Below are 16,306 nucleotides of genomic sequence, written 5' to 3' on the forward strand. Positions count from 1 at the left end.
ATGCCCAACTAACTTTTTTTTTTTTTTGTATTTTTAGTAGAGACAGGGTTTCACTAGTGGGCCAGGCTGGTCTCGAACTCCTGACCTCAGGCGATCCACCTGCCTCATCCTCTCAAAGTGCTGGAATTACAGGTGTGAGCCACCGTGCCCGGCCCCTCTCTTTATCTTTCTAGCTCTCTCCCTGTCTCTCTCTCCCTTCCCCTCTCTGTCTCTCTCTCCCTTCCCCTCTCTGTCTCTCTCTCCCTTCCCCTCTCTGTCTCTCTCTCCCTTCCCCTCTGTCTCTCTCTCCCTTCCCCTCTCTGTCTCTCTCTCCCTTCCCCTCTCTGTCTCTCTCTCCCTTCCCCTCTGTCTCTCTCTCCCTTCCCCTCTCTGTCTCTCTCTCCCTTCCCCTCTCTGTCTCTCTCTCCCTTCCCCTCTCTGTCTCTCTCTCCCTTCCCCTCTCTGTCTCTCTCTCCCTTCCCCTCTCTGTCTCTCTCTCCCTTTCCTTCTCTGTCTCTCTCTCCCTTCCCCTCTCTCTCTCTCCATTCCCCTGTCTCTATGTCTCTCCCTTTCTCTCTCCCATTATTTCTCTGTGATTGTCTCTTTCTTTCTCTGCCTCTGTCTGTCTGTCCCCCTGTATTAGTCCATTGTCACACTGCTGATAAACATATACCCAAGACTGGGTAATTTATAAACAAAAGAGGGTTCCTGGACTCACAGTTCCATGTGGCTGGGGAGGCCTCACGATCACGGCAGAAGGTGAAGGAGGAGGAAAGGCATGTCTTACATGTCAGCGGGCAAGACAGAATGAGACAGTCGCCGGGCGCAGTGACTCATGCCTGTAATCACAGCACCTTGGGAGGACGAGGTGGGTGGACCACGAGGTCAGGAGTTCAAGACCAGCCTGGCCAACATGGTGAAACCTAGCTCTACTAAAAATAAAAAAAATTACCCAGACGTGGTGGTGGCAGGCGCCTGTGGTCCCAGCTACTCGGGAGGCTGAAGCAGGAGAATCGCTTGAACCCGGGAGGCAGAGGTTGCAGTGAGTTGAGATCGCGCCACTGCACTCCAGCCTGGGTGACAGAGTGAGACTCCGTCTCGAGAAAAAAAAAAAAAAAAAAAAAATGAGAGCCGAGAGAAAGGTTTCCCTTATTAAACCATTAGATCTCGTGAGACTTATTCACTACCCCGAGAACAGTGTGGGGGGAAACTGCCCCCATGATTCAGTTATGTCCTACCCAGTCCCTCTCACAACACGTGGGAGTTATAAGGGCTACAATTCAAGATGAGATTTGGGTGGGGACACAGCCAAACTACATCACCCACTCTCTCTGTCTCTCTGCTTCTGTTTTCCTCTCTGTCTCTGTTTTTCTTTCCCTCTCTCTGTCTCTTTGTATCTCTGTCTCTCTCTCTCTGTCTCCGTTTCTATCTCTGTCTCTCTCTGTCCATCACCCACTCTGTCTCTTTGTCTCTCTATGTCTCTCTGTTTCTGTTTTTCTGTTTTTCTCTTTCCCTCTCTCTTTGTATCTATGTCTTTCTGTCTCTCCGTTTCTGTCTCTCTCTCTGTCCATCACCCACTCTGTCTGTCTTTGTCTATGTCTCTCTGTTTTTCTGTCTCTTTTTCTCTTTCCCTCTCTGTCTCCCCTCTCTGTGTCTCTTTGTATCTCCGTCTCTCCCTGTCTGTTTCTATCTCTGTCTCTCTCTGTCCATCACCTACTCTGTCTCTTTGTCTCTGTCTGTTTCTGTTTTTCTTTCTTTTTCCCTCTGTCTCCCTTCTCTGTGTCTCTTTGTATCTCTGTCTCTCTCTGTTTCTATCTGTCTCTCTCTGTCCATCACCCACTATCTCTGTCTATGTCTGTTTTTCTGTCTCTGTTTTTCTCTCTCCCTCTCTCTGTCTCCCCTCTCTGTGTCTCTTTGTATCTCTTTCTCTCTCTCTGTCTCTCCCTGTCTGTTTCTATCTCCGTCCTCCTGTATTAGTCCATTTTCATGGACTAATGAGGATCCTTCCCGCTTCTCCCAGCTCCTGGGGACTCTGGGGTCCCTGGGCTTGTGGCCATATCACTCCACTCTCTGCCTCCGTCTCCACATGGCCTTCTCCTCTGCATCCGTGTCTCCTTTTTATTTATTTATTTATTTATTTTGAGACAGAGTCTCGCTCTGTCACCCAGGCTGGAGTGCAGTGGTGCGATCTCAGCTCACTGCAACCTCCGCCTCCCAGGTTCAAGCGATTCCCCTGCCTCAGCCTCCCGAGTAGCTGGGACTACAGGTGCACACCACCACGCCTGGCTAATTTTTGTATTATTAGTAAAGATGGGATTTTACCTTGTTGCTCAGGTTGACCTCGAACTCCTGACCTCAGGTGATCTACCCACCTCAGCCTCCCAAAGTGCTGGGATTACAGGTGTCAGCCACCGCGCCCGGCCACGTCTCCTCTTCTTATAAGGATATTGGTCATTGCATTTAGGGCCCCCCCTGATCCAAAATGACATCATCTCAATCTATATCTTAACGACATCTGCCATGAACAGGTATTTCATCATAAGGCCCCATTGTAAGGTGCTGGGGGCTAAGACTGCAACATATGAATTTTGGGGGATCACAATGCAGCCTCATTCTTTTGTACCCATCAAATATGAATGGTCTTTTCTTCTTTTTTTTTTTTTTTTGAGACGGAGTCTCGCTCTGTCACCCAGGCTGGAGTGCAGTGGCGCAATCTCGGCTCACTGCAAGCTCCGCCTCCCGGGTTCCCGCCACTCTCCTGCCTCAGCCTCCTGAGTAGCTGGGACCTCAGGCGCCCGCCACCGGGCCCGGCTAATTTTTTGTATTTTTAGTAGAGACGGGGTTTCACTGTGGTCTCGATCTCCTGACCTTGTGATCTGCCCGCCTTGGCCCTCCAAAGTGCTGGGATTACAGGCGTGAGCCACCGCGCCTGGCCGAGCTATTTCATCATAAGGCCCCACTGTAAGGAGCTGGGGGCTAAGACTGCAACATATGAATTTTGGGGGATCACAATGCAGACTCATTCTTTTGTACCCATCAAATATGAATGGTCTTTTCTTCTACTTTTTTGTTTGGTTTTTAATTTCAGACAGGCTCTCACTCTGTCACCCACGCTAGAGTGCAGTGGCACAGTCACGGCTCACTGCAATCTCTGCCTCCTGGGCTCAAGGGATCCTCCTGCCTCAGCCCCCCAAGTAGCTGAAACTACAGGCGTTTGCCACCAGGTCAGCTCATTTAAAAAAAAATTTGGCTGGGCGCGGTGGCTCACGCTGGTAATCCCAGCCCTTTGGGAGGCCGAGGCGGGTGGATCATGAGGTCAGGAAATCAAGACCATCCTGGCTAACATGGTGAAACCCTGTCTCTACTAAAAAAAAAAATACAAAAAATTAGCTGGGCATGGTAGCGGGTGCCTGTAGTCCCAGCTACTCGGGAGGCTGAGGCAGGAGAATGGCATGAACCCGGGAAGCGGAGCTTGCAGTGAGCCGAGATCACGCCACTGCACTCCAGCCTGGGGGACAGAGTGAGACTCCATCTCAAAAAAAAAAAAATTTTTTTTTGGCTGGACGTGGTGGCTCACACTGGTAATCCCAGCACTTTGGGAGGCTGAGGCGGGTGGATCACCGGAGGTTGGGAGTTCGAGACCAGCCTGACCAACATGGAGAAACCCCGACTCTACTAAAAATACAAAATTAACCGAGCGTGGTGGTGGGCGCCTGTAATCCCAGCTACTCGGGAGGCTGAGGCAGGAGAATCGCTTGAATCTGGGAGGCGGAGGTTGCGGTGAGCCGAGTTGGTGCCACTGCACTCCAGCCTGGGCAACAAGAGTGAAACTCTGTCTCAAAACAAAACAAAACAAATTTTCTTCTAGAGATGGGGTCTTGGTTTGTTGCCCAGGCTGGTCTCAAACTCCTAAGCTCGAGGTATCCCCCCACCTCAGCCTCCCTGGTAGCTGGGACCAAAGACATGTGTCACCACGTCTGGTAATTTTTACAGTTTTTTTTTTTTGGTAAAGATGGGGTCTTGCTATGTTGCCCAGGCTGGTGTCAAACTCCTGGGCTTAAGGAATTCTCCCACCTCAGCCTCCAAAAGTGCTGTGGTGAGAGGCATAAACCGTAGCACCCAGCCCCTCTTTTCTTCTTTTATTTATTTATTTATTTATTTATTTATTTATTTAGAGACAGAGTCTCACTCTGTTGCCCAGGCTGCAGTGCAGTGGTGCCATCTCGCCTCACTGCAACCTCCACCTCTCAGGTTTAAGCTATTCTCCTGCCTCAGCCTCCTGAGTAGCTGGGATTACAGGTGCCTGCCACCATGCCAGGCTAATTTTTGTATTTTTAGTAGAGACAGGGTTTCACCATGTTGGCCAGGCTGGTCTCGAACTCCTGACCTCAGGTGATCCACCTGCCTTGGCCTCCCTAAGTGCCCAGGTGAGAGTCATGAGCCACCATACCTGGCCCCTCTTCTTTATTTTCTTTCAAACCACAGGTCAGAGACAGAACCTCCTTCCAGCTACTCAATCCTGGAACGTACACAGTACAAATAAGAGCCCGGGAAAGAGTGTATGAATTCTTGAGCGCCTGGAGCACCCCCCAGCGCTTCGGTGAGTGGGCTGTGCGGGGTGCGCGGGGTGAGCGGGGTGAGCGGGGTGCGCGGGGTGAGCGGGGTGCGCGGGGTGAGCGGGGTGCGCGGGGTGAGCGGGGTGAGCGGGGTGAGCCGGGTGCGCGGGGTGAGCCGGCTGCGCGGGGTGAGCGGGGTGAGCGGGGTGAGCGGGGTGAGCGGGGTGCGCGGGGTGAGCGGGGTGAGCGGGGTGCGCGGGGTGAGCGGGGTGAGCCGGGTGCGCGGGGTGAGCCGGGTGAGCGGGGTGCGCGGGGTGAGCGGGGTGAGCGGGGTGCGCGGGGTGAGCCGGGTGCGCGGGGTGAGCGGGGTGAGCCGGGTGCGCGGGGTGAGCGGGGTGAGCGGGGTGAGCCGGGTGAGCCGGGTGAGCCGGGTGCGCGGGGTGAGCCGGGTGCGCGGGGTGAGCGGGGTGCGCGGGGTGAGCGGGGTGCGCGGGGTGAGCCGGGTGCGCGGGGTGAGCGGGGTGCGCGGGGTGAGCGGGGTGCGCGGGGTGAGCCGGGTGCGCGGGGTGAGCGGGGTGAGCGGGGTGAGCCGGGTGCCCCGGGTGAGCGGGGTGCGCGGGGTGAGCCGGGTGCGCGGGGTGAGCGGGGTGAGCGGGGTGCGCGGGGTGAGCCGGGTGCGCGGGGTGAGCCGGGTGCGCGGGGTGAGCCGGGTGAGCGGGGTGAGCGGGGTGCGGGGTGCGCGGTGCGCGGGGTGAGCGGGGTGCGCGGGGTGAGCCGGGTGCGCGGGGTGAGCGGGGTGAGCCGGGTGCCCCGGGTGAGCGGGGTGCGCGGGGTGAGCCGGGTGCGCGGGGTGAGCGGGGTGCGCGGGGTGAGCGGGGTGCGCGGGGTGCGCGGCGTGAGCCGGGTGCGCGGGGTGCGCGGGGTGAGCGGGGTGCGCGGGGTGCGCGGGGTGCGCGGGGTGAGCGGGGTGCGCGGGGTGCGCGGCGTGAGCCGGGTGCGCGGGGTGAGCGGGGTGCGCGGGGTGAGCGGGGTGCGCGGGGTGAGCCGGGTGCGCGGGGTGAGCCGGGTGAGCCGGGTGCGCGGGGTGAGCGGGGTGCGCGGGGTGAGCCGGGTGAGCCGGGTGCGCGGGGTGAGCCGGGTGCGCGGGGTGAGCGGGGTGCGCGGGGTGAGCCGGGTGCGCGGGGTGAGCGGGGTGCGCGGGGTGAGCGGGGTGCGCGGGGTGAGCGGGGTGCGCGGGGTGAGCCGGGTGCGCGGGGTGAGCGGGGTGAGCGGGGTGAGCCGGGTGCCCCGGGTGAGCGGGGTGCGCGGGGTGAGCCCGGTGAGCCGGGTGCGCGGGGTGAGCCGGGTGCGCGGGGTGAGCCGGGTGAGCGGGGTGAGCGGGGTGCGCGGTGCGCGGGGTGAGCGGGGTGCGCGGGGTGAGCCGGGTGCGCGGGGTGAGCGGGGTGAGCCGGGTGCCCCGGGTGAGCGGGGTGCGCGGGGTGAGCCGGGTGCGCGGGGTGAGCGGGGTGCGCGGAGTGAGCGGGGTGCGCGGGGTGCGCGGCGTGAGCCGGGTGCGCGGGGTGCGCGGGGTGAGCGGGGTGCGCGGGGTGCGCGGGGTGCGCGGGGTGAGCGGGGTGCGCGGGGTGCGCGGCGTGAGCCGGGTGCGCGGGGTGAGCGGGGTGCGCGGGGTGAGCGGGGTGCGCGGGGTGAGCCGGGTGCGCGGGGTGAGCGGGGTGCGCGGGGTGAGCCGGGTGCGCGGGGTGCGCGGGGTGCGCGGGGTGCGCCGGGTGCGCGGGGTGAGCCGGGTGCGCGGGGTGAGCGGGGTGCGCGGGGTGCGCGGGGTGCGCGGGGTGAGCCGGGTGCGCGGGGTGAGCGGGGTGAGCCGGGTGCGCGGGGTGAGCGGGGTGAGCCGGGTGCGCGGGGTGAGCGGGGTGCGCGGGGTGAGCCGGGTGCGCGGGGTGAGCGGGGTGCGCGGGGTGAGCCGGGTGCGCGGGGTGAGCGGGGTGCGCCGGGTGAGCGGGGTGAGCGGGGTGAGCCGGGTGCGCGGGGTGCGCGGGGTGCGCCGGGTGCGCGGGGTGAGCCGGGTGCGCGGGGTGAGCGGGGTGCGCGGGGTGCGCGGGGTGCGCGGGGTGAGCCGGGTGCGCGGGGTGAGCGGGGTGAGCCGGGTGAGCGGGGTGCGCGGGGTGAGCCGGGTGCGCGGGGTGAGCGGGGTGCGCGGGGTGAGCCGGGTGCGCGGGGTGCGCGGGGTGAGCCGGGTGCGCGGGGTGAGCGGGGTGCGCGGGGTGAGCGGGGTGCGCGGGGTGAGCCGGGTGCGCGGGGTGAGCCGGGTGCGCGGGGTGCGCGGGGTGCGCGGCGTGAGCCGGGTGCGCGGGGTGCGCCGGGTGCGCGGGGTGAGCGGGGTGAGCCGGGTGCGCGGGGTGAGCGGGGTGCGCGGGGTGAGCGGGGTGCGCCGGGTGAGCCGGGTGCGCGGGGTGAGCCGGGTGCGCGGGGTGAGCGGGGTGCGCGGGGTGAGCCGGGTGCGCGGGGTGAGCGGGGTGCGCCGGGTGAGCGGGGTGCGCGGGGTGAGCGGGGTGCGCCGGGTGAGCGGGGTGCGCGGGCTGAGCGGGGTGCGCCGGGTGAGCGGGGTGCGCGGGGTGAGCGGGGTGCGCCATCCTGGGTCACGGAAACACTCCTCTCCTGCAAAGGAGAGGAGATTCACTCCCCCAGTTTCTGTGACCCCAAAAAGGACCCTGAACCCGACGGTGAACTCACAGCTTGCTCTTACTCACGAGAGGAGACGTGGAGGGGAAACAAGGTCGTCCCACTGACAGACACCCCCTGGGCCTTGTAATAAAGACCGAGGCGGGCGGATCACAAGGTCAGGAGATCGAGACCATCCCGGCTAACACGGTGAAACCCGGTCTCTACAAAAAATGTAACAAATTAGCCAGGCGTGGTGATGGGCGCCTGTAGTCCCAGCTACTCGGGAGGCTGAGGCAGGAGAATGGCGTGAACCCGGGAGGCGGAGGTTGCAGTGAGCCGAGATCGCGCCACTGTGCTCCATCCAGCCTGGGCGACAAGAGCGAGACTCCATCTCAACAACAAAACAAAAGGATCGCCTCAGAGTAGAACTTCTGGCCGGGCACGGTGACTCATGCCTGCCATCCCAGCACTTTGGGAGGCTGAGGTGGGTAGATCACCTGAGGTCAGGAGTTCGAGACCAGCCTGACCAACATGGAAAAACCCTGTCTCTACTAAAAATAGAAAAATTAGGTCAGGTGCTGTGGCTTAAGCCTGTAACCTCAGCTACCAGGGAGGCTGAGGCAGGAGAATCGCTTGAATTGTGTTCCCTCAAAATTCGTGTGTTGAAGCTTTGATCCCCCAGGACCTCAGAATGTGACTGTGTTTGGAGTTGGGGTGTTTAAAGAGGCGATTAAGGTAAAATGAGGTCATTAGGGTGGGCCCTAATCTAACAGGACTGGGGTCCTTATAAGAAGAGGAGATGAGGACACAGACACACACAGAGGGACGACCCTGTGGGACACAGGGAGAAGACGGCGTCTCCAAGCCCAGGAGAGGGGCCTCAGGAGGAACCAGCACTGCCCACACCTGGATCTCAGACCTCCAGCCTCCAGGGCTGTGGGAGAATCAATGTGTTTTGTTTCTAAGCCGCCCAGCCTCTGGTATTCTGTGACAGCAGCCTGAGATGGACTAAGCCATCTCATAAGAAGAGACGAGGACACAGACACACACAGAGGGACGACCCTGTGAGGGCACAGGGAGAAGACGGCGTCTCCAAGCCCAGGAGAGGGGCCTCAGGAGGAACCAGCACTGCCCACACCTGGATCTCAGACCTCCAGCCTCCAGGGCTGTGGGAGAATCAATGTGTTTTGTTTCTAAGCCGCCCAGCCTCTGGTATTCTGTGACAGCAGCCTGAGATGGACTAAGACATCTCATAAGAAGAGGAGATGAGGACACAGACACACACAGAGGGACGACCCTGTGAGGGCACAGGGAGAAGACGGCGTCTCCAAGCCCAGGAGAGGGGCCTCAGGAGGAACCAGCCCTGCCCACACCTGGATCTCAGACCTCCAGCCTCCAGGGCTGTGGGAGAATCAATGTGTTTTGTTTCTAAGCCGCCCAGCCTCTGGTATTCTGTGACAGCAGCCTGAGATGGACTAAGACATCTCATAAGAAGAGGAGATGAGGACACAGACACACACAGAGGGACGACCCTGTGAGGGCACAGGGAGAAGACGGCGTCTCCAAGCCCAGGAGAGGGGCCTCAGGAGGAACCAGCACTGCCCACACCTGGATCTCAGACCTCCAGCCTCCAGGGCTGTGGGAGAATCAATGTGTTTTGTTTCTAAGCCGCCCAGCCTCTGGTATTCTGTGACAGCAGCCTGAGATGGACTAAGCCATCTCATAAGAAGAGACGAGGACACAGACACACACAGAGGGATGACCCTGTGAGGGCACAGGGAGAAGACGGCGTCTCCAAGCCCAGGAGAGGGGCCTCAGGAGGAACCAGCACTGCCCACACCTGGATCTCAGACCTCCAGCCTCCAGGGCTGTGGGAGAATCAATGTGTTTTGTTTCTAAGCCGCCCAGCCTCTGGTATTCTGTGACAGCAGCCTGAGATGGACTAAGACATCTCATAAGAAGAGGAGATGAGGACACAGACACACACAGAGGGATGACCCTGTGAGGGCACAGGGAGAAGACGGCGTCTCCAAGCCCAGGAGAGGGGCCTCAGGAGGAACCAGCCCTGCCCACACCTGGATCTCAGACCTCCAGCCTCCAGGGCTGTGGGAGAATCAATGTGTTTTGTTTCTAAGCCGCCCAGCCTCTGGTATTCTGTGACAGCAGCCTGAGATGGACTAAGCCATCTCATAAGAAGAGACGAGGACACAGACACACACAGAGGGACGACCCTGTGAGGACACAGGGAGAAGACGGCGTCTCCAAGCCCAGGAGAGGGGCCTCAGGAGGAACCAGCACTGCCCACACCTGGATCTCAGACCTCCAGCCTCCAGGGCTGTGGGAGAATCAGTGTTTTGTTTCTAAGCCGCCCAGCCTCTGGTATTCTGTGACAGCAGCCTGAGATGGACTAAGCCATCTCATAAGAAGAGACGAGGACACAGACACACACAGAGGGACGACCCTGTGAGGGCACAGGGAGAAGACGGCGTCTCCAAGCCCAGGAGAGGGGCCTCAGGAGGAACCAGCCCTGCCCACACCTGGATCTCAGACCTCCAGCCTCCAGGGCTGTGGGAGAATCAATGTGTTTTGTTTCTAAGCCGCCCAGCCTCTGGTATTCTGTGACAGCAGCCTGAGATGGAGTAAGACATCTCATAAGAAGAGGAGATGAGGACACAGACACACACAGAGGGACGACCCTGTGGGACACAGGGAGAAGACGGGGTCTCCAAGCCCAGGAGAGGGGCCTCAGGAGGAACCAGCCCTGCCCACACCTGGATCTCAGACCTCCAGCCTCCAGGGCTGTGGGAGAATCAATGTGTTTTGTTTCTAAGCCGCCCAGCCTCTGGTATTCTGTGACAGCAGCCTGAGATGGACTAAGCCATCTCATAAGAAGAGACGAGGACACAGACACACAGAGAGGGACGACCCTGTGAGGACACAGGGAGAAGACGGCATCTCCAAGCCCAGGAGAGGGGCCTCAGGAGGAACCAGCACTGCCCACACCTGGATCTCAGACCTCCAGCCTCCAGGGCTGTGGGAGAATCAATGTGTTTTGTTTCTAAGCCGCCCAGCCTCTGGTATTCTGTGACAGCAGCCTGAGATGGACTAAGACATCTCATAAGAAGAGGAGATGAGGACACAGACACACACAGAGGGACGACCCTGTGAGGACACAGGGAGAAGACGGCGTCTCCAAGCCCAGGAGAGGGGCCTCAGGAGGAACCAGCCCTGCCCACACCTGGATCTCAGACCTCCAGCCTCCAGGGCTGTGGGAGAATCAATGTGTTTTGTTTCTAAGCCGCCCAGCCTCTGGTATTCTGTGACAGCAGCCTGAGATGGACTAAGCCATCTCATAAGAAGAGACGAGGACACAGACACACACAGAGGGACGACCCTGTGAGGGCACAGGGAGAAGACGGCGTCTCCAAGCCCAGGAGAGGGGCCTCAGGAGGAACCAGCCCTGCCCACACCTGGATCTCAGACCTCCAGCCTCCAGGGCTGTGGGAGAATCAATGTGTTTTGTTTCTAAGCCGCCCAGCCTCTGGTATTCTGTGACAGCAGCCTGAGATGGACTAAGCCATCTCATAAGAAGAGACGAGGACACAGACACACACAGAGGGACGACCCTGTGAGGGCACAGGGAGAAGACGGCGTCTCCAAGCCCAGGAGAGGGGCCTCAGGAGGAACCAGCCCTGCCCACACCTGGATCTCAGAACTCCAGCCTCCAGGGCTGTGGGAGAATCAATGTGTTTTGTTTCTAAGCCGCCCAGCCTCTGGTATTCTGTGACAGCAGCCTGAGATGGACTAAGACATCTCATAAGAAGAGGACATGAGGACACAGACACACACAGAGGGACGACCCTGTGGGACACAGGGAGAAGACGGGGTCTCCAAGCCCAGGAGAGGGGCCTCAGGAGGAACCAGCCCTGCCCACACCTGGATCTCAGACCTCCAGCCTCCAGGGCTGTGGGAGAATCAATGTGTTTTGTTTCTAAGCCGCCCAGCCTCTGGTATTCTGTGACAGCAGCCTGAGATGGACTAAGACATCTCATAAGAAGAGGAGATGAGGACACAGACACACACAGAGGGACGACCCTGTGGGACACAGGGAGAAGACGGGGTCTCCAAGCCCAGGAGAGGGGCCTCAGGAGGAACCAGCCCTGCCCACACCTGGATCTCAGAACTCCAGCCTCCAGGGCTGTGGGAGAATCAATGTGTTTTGTTTCTAAGCCGCCCAGCCTCTGGTATTCTGTGACAGCAGCCTGAGATGGACTAAGACATCTCATAAGAAGAGGAGATGAGGACACAGACACACACAGAGGGACGACCCTGTGAGGACACAGGGAGAAGACGGCGTCTCCAAGCCCAGGAGAGGGGCCTCAGGAGGAACCAGCCCTGCCCACACCTGGATCTCAGACCTCCAGCCTCCAGGGCTGTGGGAGAATCAATGTGTTTTGTTTCTAAGCCGCCCAGCCTCTGGTATTCTGTGACAGCAGCCTGAGATGGACTAAGCCATCTCATAAGAAGAGACGAGGACACAGACACACACAGAGGGACGACCCTGTGAGGGCACAGGGAGAAGACGGCGTCTCCAAGCCCAGGAGAGGGGCCTCAGGAGGAACCAGCCCTGCCCACACCTGGATCTCAGACCTCCAGCCTCCAGGGCTGTGGGAGAATCAATGTGTTTTGTTTCTAAGCCGCCCAGCCTCTGGTATTCTGTGACAGCAGCCTGAGATGGACTAAGCCATCTCATAAGAAGAGACGAGGACACAGACACACACAGAGGGACGACCCTGTGAGGGCACAGGGAGAAGACGGCGTCTCCAAGCCCAGGAGAGGGGCCTCAGGAGGAACCAGCCCTGCCCACACCTGGATCTCAGAACTCCAGCCTCCAGGGCTGTGGGAGAATCAATGTGTTTTGTTTCTAAGCCGCCCAGCCTCTGGTATTCTGTGACAGCAGCCTGAGATGGACTAAGACATCTCATAAGAAGAGGACATGAGGACACAGACACACACAGAGGGACGACCCTGTGGGACACAGGGAGAAGACGGGGTCTCCAAGCCCAGGAGAGGGGCCTCAGGAGGAACCAGCCCTGCCCACACCTGGATCTCAGACCTCCAGCCTCCAGGGCTGTGGGAGAATCAATGTGTTTTGTTTCTAAGCCGCCCAGCCTCTGGTATTCTGTGACAGCAGCCTGAGATGGACTAAGACATCTCATAAGAAGAGGAGATGAGGACACAGACACACACAGAGGGACGACCCTGTGGGACACAGGGAGAAGACGGGGTCTCCAAGCCCAGGAGAGGGGCCTCAGGAGGAACCAGCCCTGCCCACACCTGGATCTCAGAACTCCAGCCTCCAGGGCTGTGGGAGAATCAATGTGTTTTGTTTCTAAGCCGCCCAGCCTCTGGTATTCTGTGACAGCAGCCTGAGATGGACTAAGACATCTCATAAGAAGAGGACATGAGGACACAGACACACACAGAGGGACGACCCTGTGGGACACAGAAGACGGGGTCTCCAAGCCCAGGAGAGGGGCCTCAGGAGGAACCAGCCCTGCCCACACCTGGATCTCAGACCTCCAGCCTCCAGGGCTGTGGGAGAATCAATGTGTTTTGTTTCTAAGCCGCCCAGCCTCTGGTATTCTGTGACAGCAGCCTGAGATGGACTAAGACATCTCATAAGAAGAGGACATGAGGACACAGACACACACAGAGGGACGACCCTGTGAGGGCACAGGGAGAAGACGGCGTCTCCAAGCCCAGGAGAGAGGCCTCAGGAGGAACCAGCCTTGCCCACACCTGGATCTCAGACCTCCAGCCTCCAGGGCTGTGGGAGAATCAATGTGTTTTGTTTCTAAGCCGCCCAGCCTCTGGTATTCTGTGACAGCAGCCTGAGATGGACTAAGACACCTCATAAGAAGAGGAGATGAGGACACAGACACACACGGAGGAACAACCCTGTGAGGACACAGGGAGAAGACGGCATCTCCAAGCCCAGGAGAGAGGCCTCAGGAGGAACCAGCCCTGCCCACACCTGGATCTCAGACCTCCAGCCTCCAGGGCTGTGGGAGAATCAATGTGTTTTGTTTCTAAGCCGCCCAGCCTCTGGTATTCTGTGACAGCAGCCTGAAACGGACTAAGACATCCCATAAAAAGGAGATGAGGACACAGACACACACGGAGGGACGACCCTGTGGGACACAGGGAGAAGACGGCGTCTCCAAGCCCAGGAGAGGGGCCTCAGGAGGAACCAGCACTGCCCACACCTGGATCTCAGACCTCCAGCCTCCAGGGCTGTGGGAGAATCAATGTGTTTTGTTTCTAAGCCGCCCAGCCTCTGGTATTCTGTGACAGCAGCCTGAGATGGACTAAGCCATCTCATAAGAAGAGACGAGGACACAGACACACACAGAGGGATGACCCTGTGAGGGCACAGGGAGAAGACGGCGTCTCCAAGCCCAGGAGAGGGGCCTCAGGAGGAACCAGCACTGCCCACACCTGGATCTCAGACCTCCAGCCTCCAGGGCTGTGGGAGAATCAATGTGTTTTGTTTCTAAGCCGCCCAGCCTCTGGTATTCTGTGACAGCAGCCTGAGATGGACTAAGACATCTCATAAGAAGAGGAGATGAGGACACAGACACACACAGAGGGACGACCCTGTGAGGGCACAGGGAGAAGACGGCGTCTCCAAGCCCAGGAGAGGGGCCTCAGGAGGAACCAGCCCTGCCCACACCTGGATCTCAGACCTCCAGCCTCCAGGGCTGTGGGAGAATCAATGTGTTTTGTTTCTAAGCCGCCCAGCCTCTGGTATTCTGTGACAGCAGCCTGAGATGGACTAAGCCATCTCATAAGAAGAGACGAGGACACAGACACACACAGAGGGACGACCCTGTGAGGACACAGGGAGAAGACGGCGTCTCCAAGCCCAGGAGAGGGGCCTCAGGAGGAACCAGCACTGCCCACACCTGGATCTCAGACCTCCAGCCTCCAGGGCTGTGGGAGAATCAATGTGTTTTGTTTCTAAGCCGCCCAGCCTCTGGTATTCTGTGACAGCAGCCTGAGATGGACTAAGCCATCTCATAAGAAGAGACGAGGACACAGACACACACAGAGGGACGACCCTGTGAGGGCACAGGGAGAAGACGGCGTCTCCAAGCCCAGGAGAGGGGCCTCAGGAGGAACCAGCCCTGCCCACACCTGGATCTCAGACCTCCAGCCTCCAGGGCTGTGGGAGAATCAATGTGTTTTGTTTCTAAGCCGCCCAGCCTCTGGTATTCTGTGACAGCAGCCTGAGATGGAGTAAGACATCTCATAAGAAGAGGAGATGAGGACACAGACACACACAGAGGGACGACCCTGTGGGACACAGGGAGAAGACGGGGTCTCCAAGCCCAGGAGAGGGGCCTCAGGAGGAACCAGCCCTGCCCACACCTGGATCTCAGACCTCCAGCCTCCAGGGCTGTGGGAGAATCAATGTGTTTTGTTTCTAAGCCGCCCAGCCTCTGGTATTCTGTGACAGCAGCCTGAGATGGACTAAGCCATCTCATAAGAAGAGACGAGGACACAGACACACACAGAGGGACGACCCTGTGAGGGCACAGGGAGAAGACGGCGTCTCCAAGCCCAGGAGAGGGGCCTCAGGAGGAACCAGCCCTGCCCACACCTGGATCTCAGACCTCCAGCCTCCAGGGCTGTGGGAGAATCAATGTGTTTTGTTTCTAAGCCGCCCAGCCTCTGGTATTCTGTGACAGCAGCCTGAGATGGACTAAGACATCTCATAAGAAGAGGACATGAGGACACAGACACACACAGAGGGACGACCCTGTGGGACACAGGGAGAAGACGGGGTCTCCAAGCCCAGGAGAGGGGCCTCAGGAGGAACCAGCCCTGCCCACACCTGGATCTCAGACCTCCAGCCTCCAGGGCTGTGGGAGAATCAATGTGTTTTGTTTCTAAGCCGCCCAGCCTCTGGTATTCTGTGACAGCAGCCTGAGATGGACTAAGACATCTCATAAGAAGAGGAGATGAGGACACAGACACACACAGAGGGACGACCCTGTGGGACACAGGGAGAAGACGGGGTCTCCAAGCCCAGGAGAGGGGCCTCAGGAGGAACCAGCCCTGCCCACACCTGGATCTCAGACCTCCAGCCTCCAGGGCTGTGGGAGAATCAATGTGTTTTGTTTCTAAGCCGCCCAGCCTCTGGTATTCTGTGACAGCAGCCTGAGATGGACTAAGACATCTCATAAGAAGAGGACATGAGGACACAGACACACACAGAGGGACGACCCTGTGGGACACAGAAGACGGGGTCTCCAAGCCCAGGAGAGGGGCCTCAGGAGGAACCAGCCCTGCCCACACCTGGATCTCAGACCTCCAGCCTCCAGGGCTGTGGGAGAATCAATGTGTTTTGTTTCCAAGCCGCCCAGCCTCTGGTATTCTGTGACAGCAGCCTGAGATGGACTAAGACATCTCATAAGAAGAGGACATGAGGACACAGACACACACAGAGGGACGACCCTGTGAGGGCACAGGGAGAAGACGGCGTCTCCAAGCCCAGGAGAGAGGCCTCAGGAGGAACCAGCCTTGCCCACACCTGGATCTCAGACCTCCAGCCTCCAGGGCTGTGGGAGAATCAATGTGTTTTGTTTCTAAGCCGCCCAGCCTCTGGTATTCTGTGACAGCAGCCTGAGATGGACTAAGACACCTCATAAGAAGAGGAGATGAGGACACAGACACACACGGAGGAACAACCCTGTGAGGACACAGGGAGAAGACGGCGTCTCCAAGCCCAGGAGAGAGGCCTCAGGAGGAACCAGCCCTGCCCACACCTGGATCTCAGACCTCCAGCCTCCAGGGCTGTGGGAGAATCAATGTGTTTTGTTTCTAAGCCGCCCAGCCTCTGGTATTCTGTGACAGCAGCCTGAAACGGACTAAGACATCCCATAAAAAGGAGATGAGGACACAGACACACACGGAGGGACGACCCTGTGGGACACAGGGAGAAGACGGCGTCTCCAAGCCCAGGAGAGGGGCCTCAGGAGGAACCAGCCCTGCCCACACCTGGATCTCAGACCTCCAGCCTCCAGGGCTGTGGGAGAATCAAT

At 59.1% G+C, this 16,306-nt stretch overlaps 1 protein-coding gene and 1 long non-coding RNA gene across 23 annotated transcripts in view; one reads left to right on the top strand and one right to left on the bottom strand.

Moving 5' to 3' along the window:
* IL3RA (interleukin 3 receptor subunit alpha) overlaps nucleotides 1-16,306 on the top strand; it is a 45,905-nt gene that overhangs the window by 23,889 nt on the left and 5,710 nt on the right. For all 7 annotated transcript variants that reach the window (NM_002183.4, XM_005274781.2, NM_001267713.2 and 4 more), the window contains one exon: nucleotides 4,465-4,579. In NM_002183.4, the coding sequence (NP_002174.1) occupies nucleotides 4,465-4,579 (115 nt within the window). The remainder of the gene's footprint in view (nucleotides 1-4,464; nucleotides 4,580-16,306) is intronic.
* Nucleotides 1-16,306, bottom strand: part of LOC101928032 (uncharacterized) — a 41,505-nt gene that overhangs the window by 23,702 nt on the left and 1,497 nt on the right. For 5 of the 16 annotated variants that reach the window (XR_007068475.1, XR_001756017.2, XR_001756023.2 and 2 more), the window contains exons 2-3: nucleotides 7,283-7,417; nucleotides 4,430-4,498 (exon numbers count right to left, since the gene is read on the bottom strand). The exons of 1 other annotated variant lie outside the window; for it this stretch is intronic. This is a non-coding gene — a long non-coding RNA (uncharacterized LOC101928032). Of the gene's footprint in view, nucleotides 1-697; nucleotides 1,077-4,429; nucleotides 4,499-7,265; nucleotides 7,418-16,306 lie in introns of all 16 variants that reach the window. 10 more of the 16 variants (XR_007068471.1, XR_007068472.1, XR_007068476.1 and 7 more) reach the window with 8 other exon arrangements.

Source organism: Homo sapiens, chromosome Y, assembly GCF_000001405.40.
Source record: "Homo sapiens chromosome Y, GRCh38.p14 Primary Assembly".
NCBI classification, from domain to species: domain Eukaryota; kingdom Metazoa; phylum Chordata; class Mammalia; order Primates; family Hominidae; genus Homo; species Homo sapiens.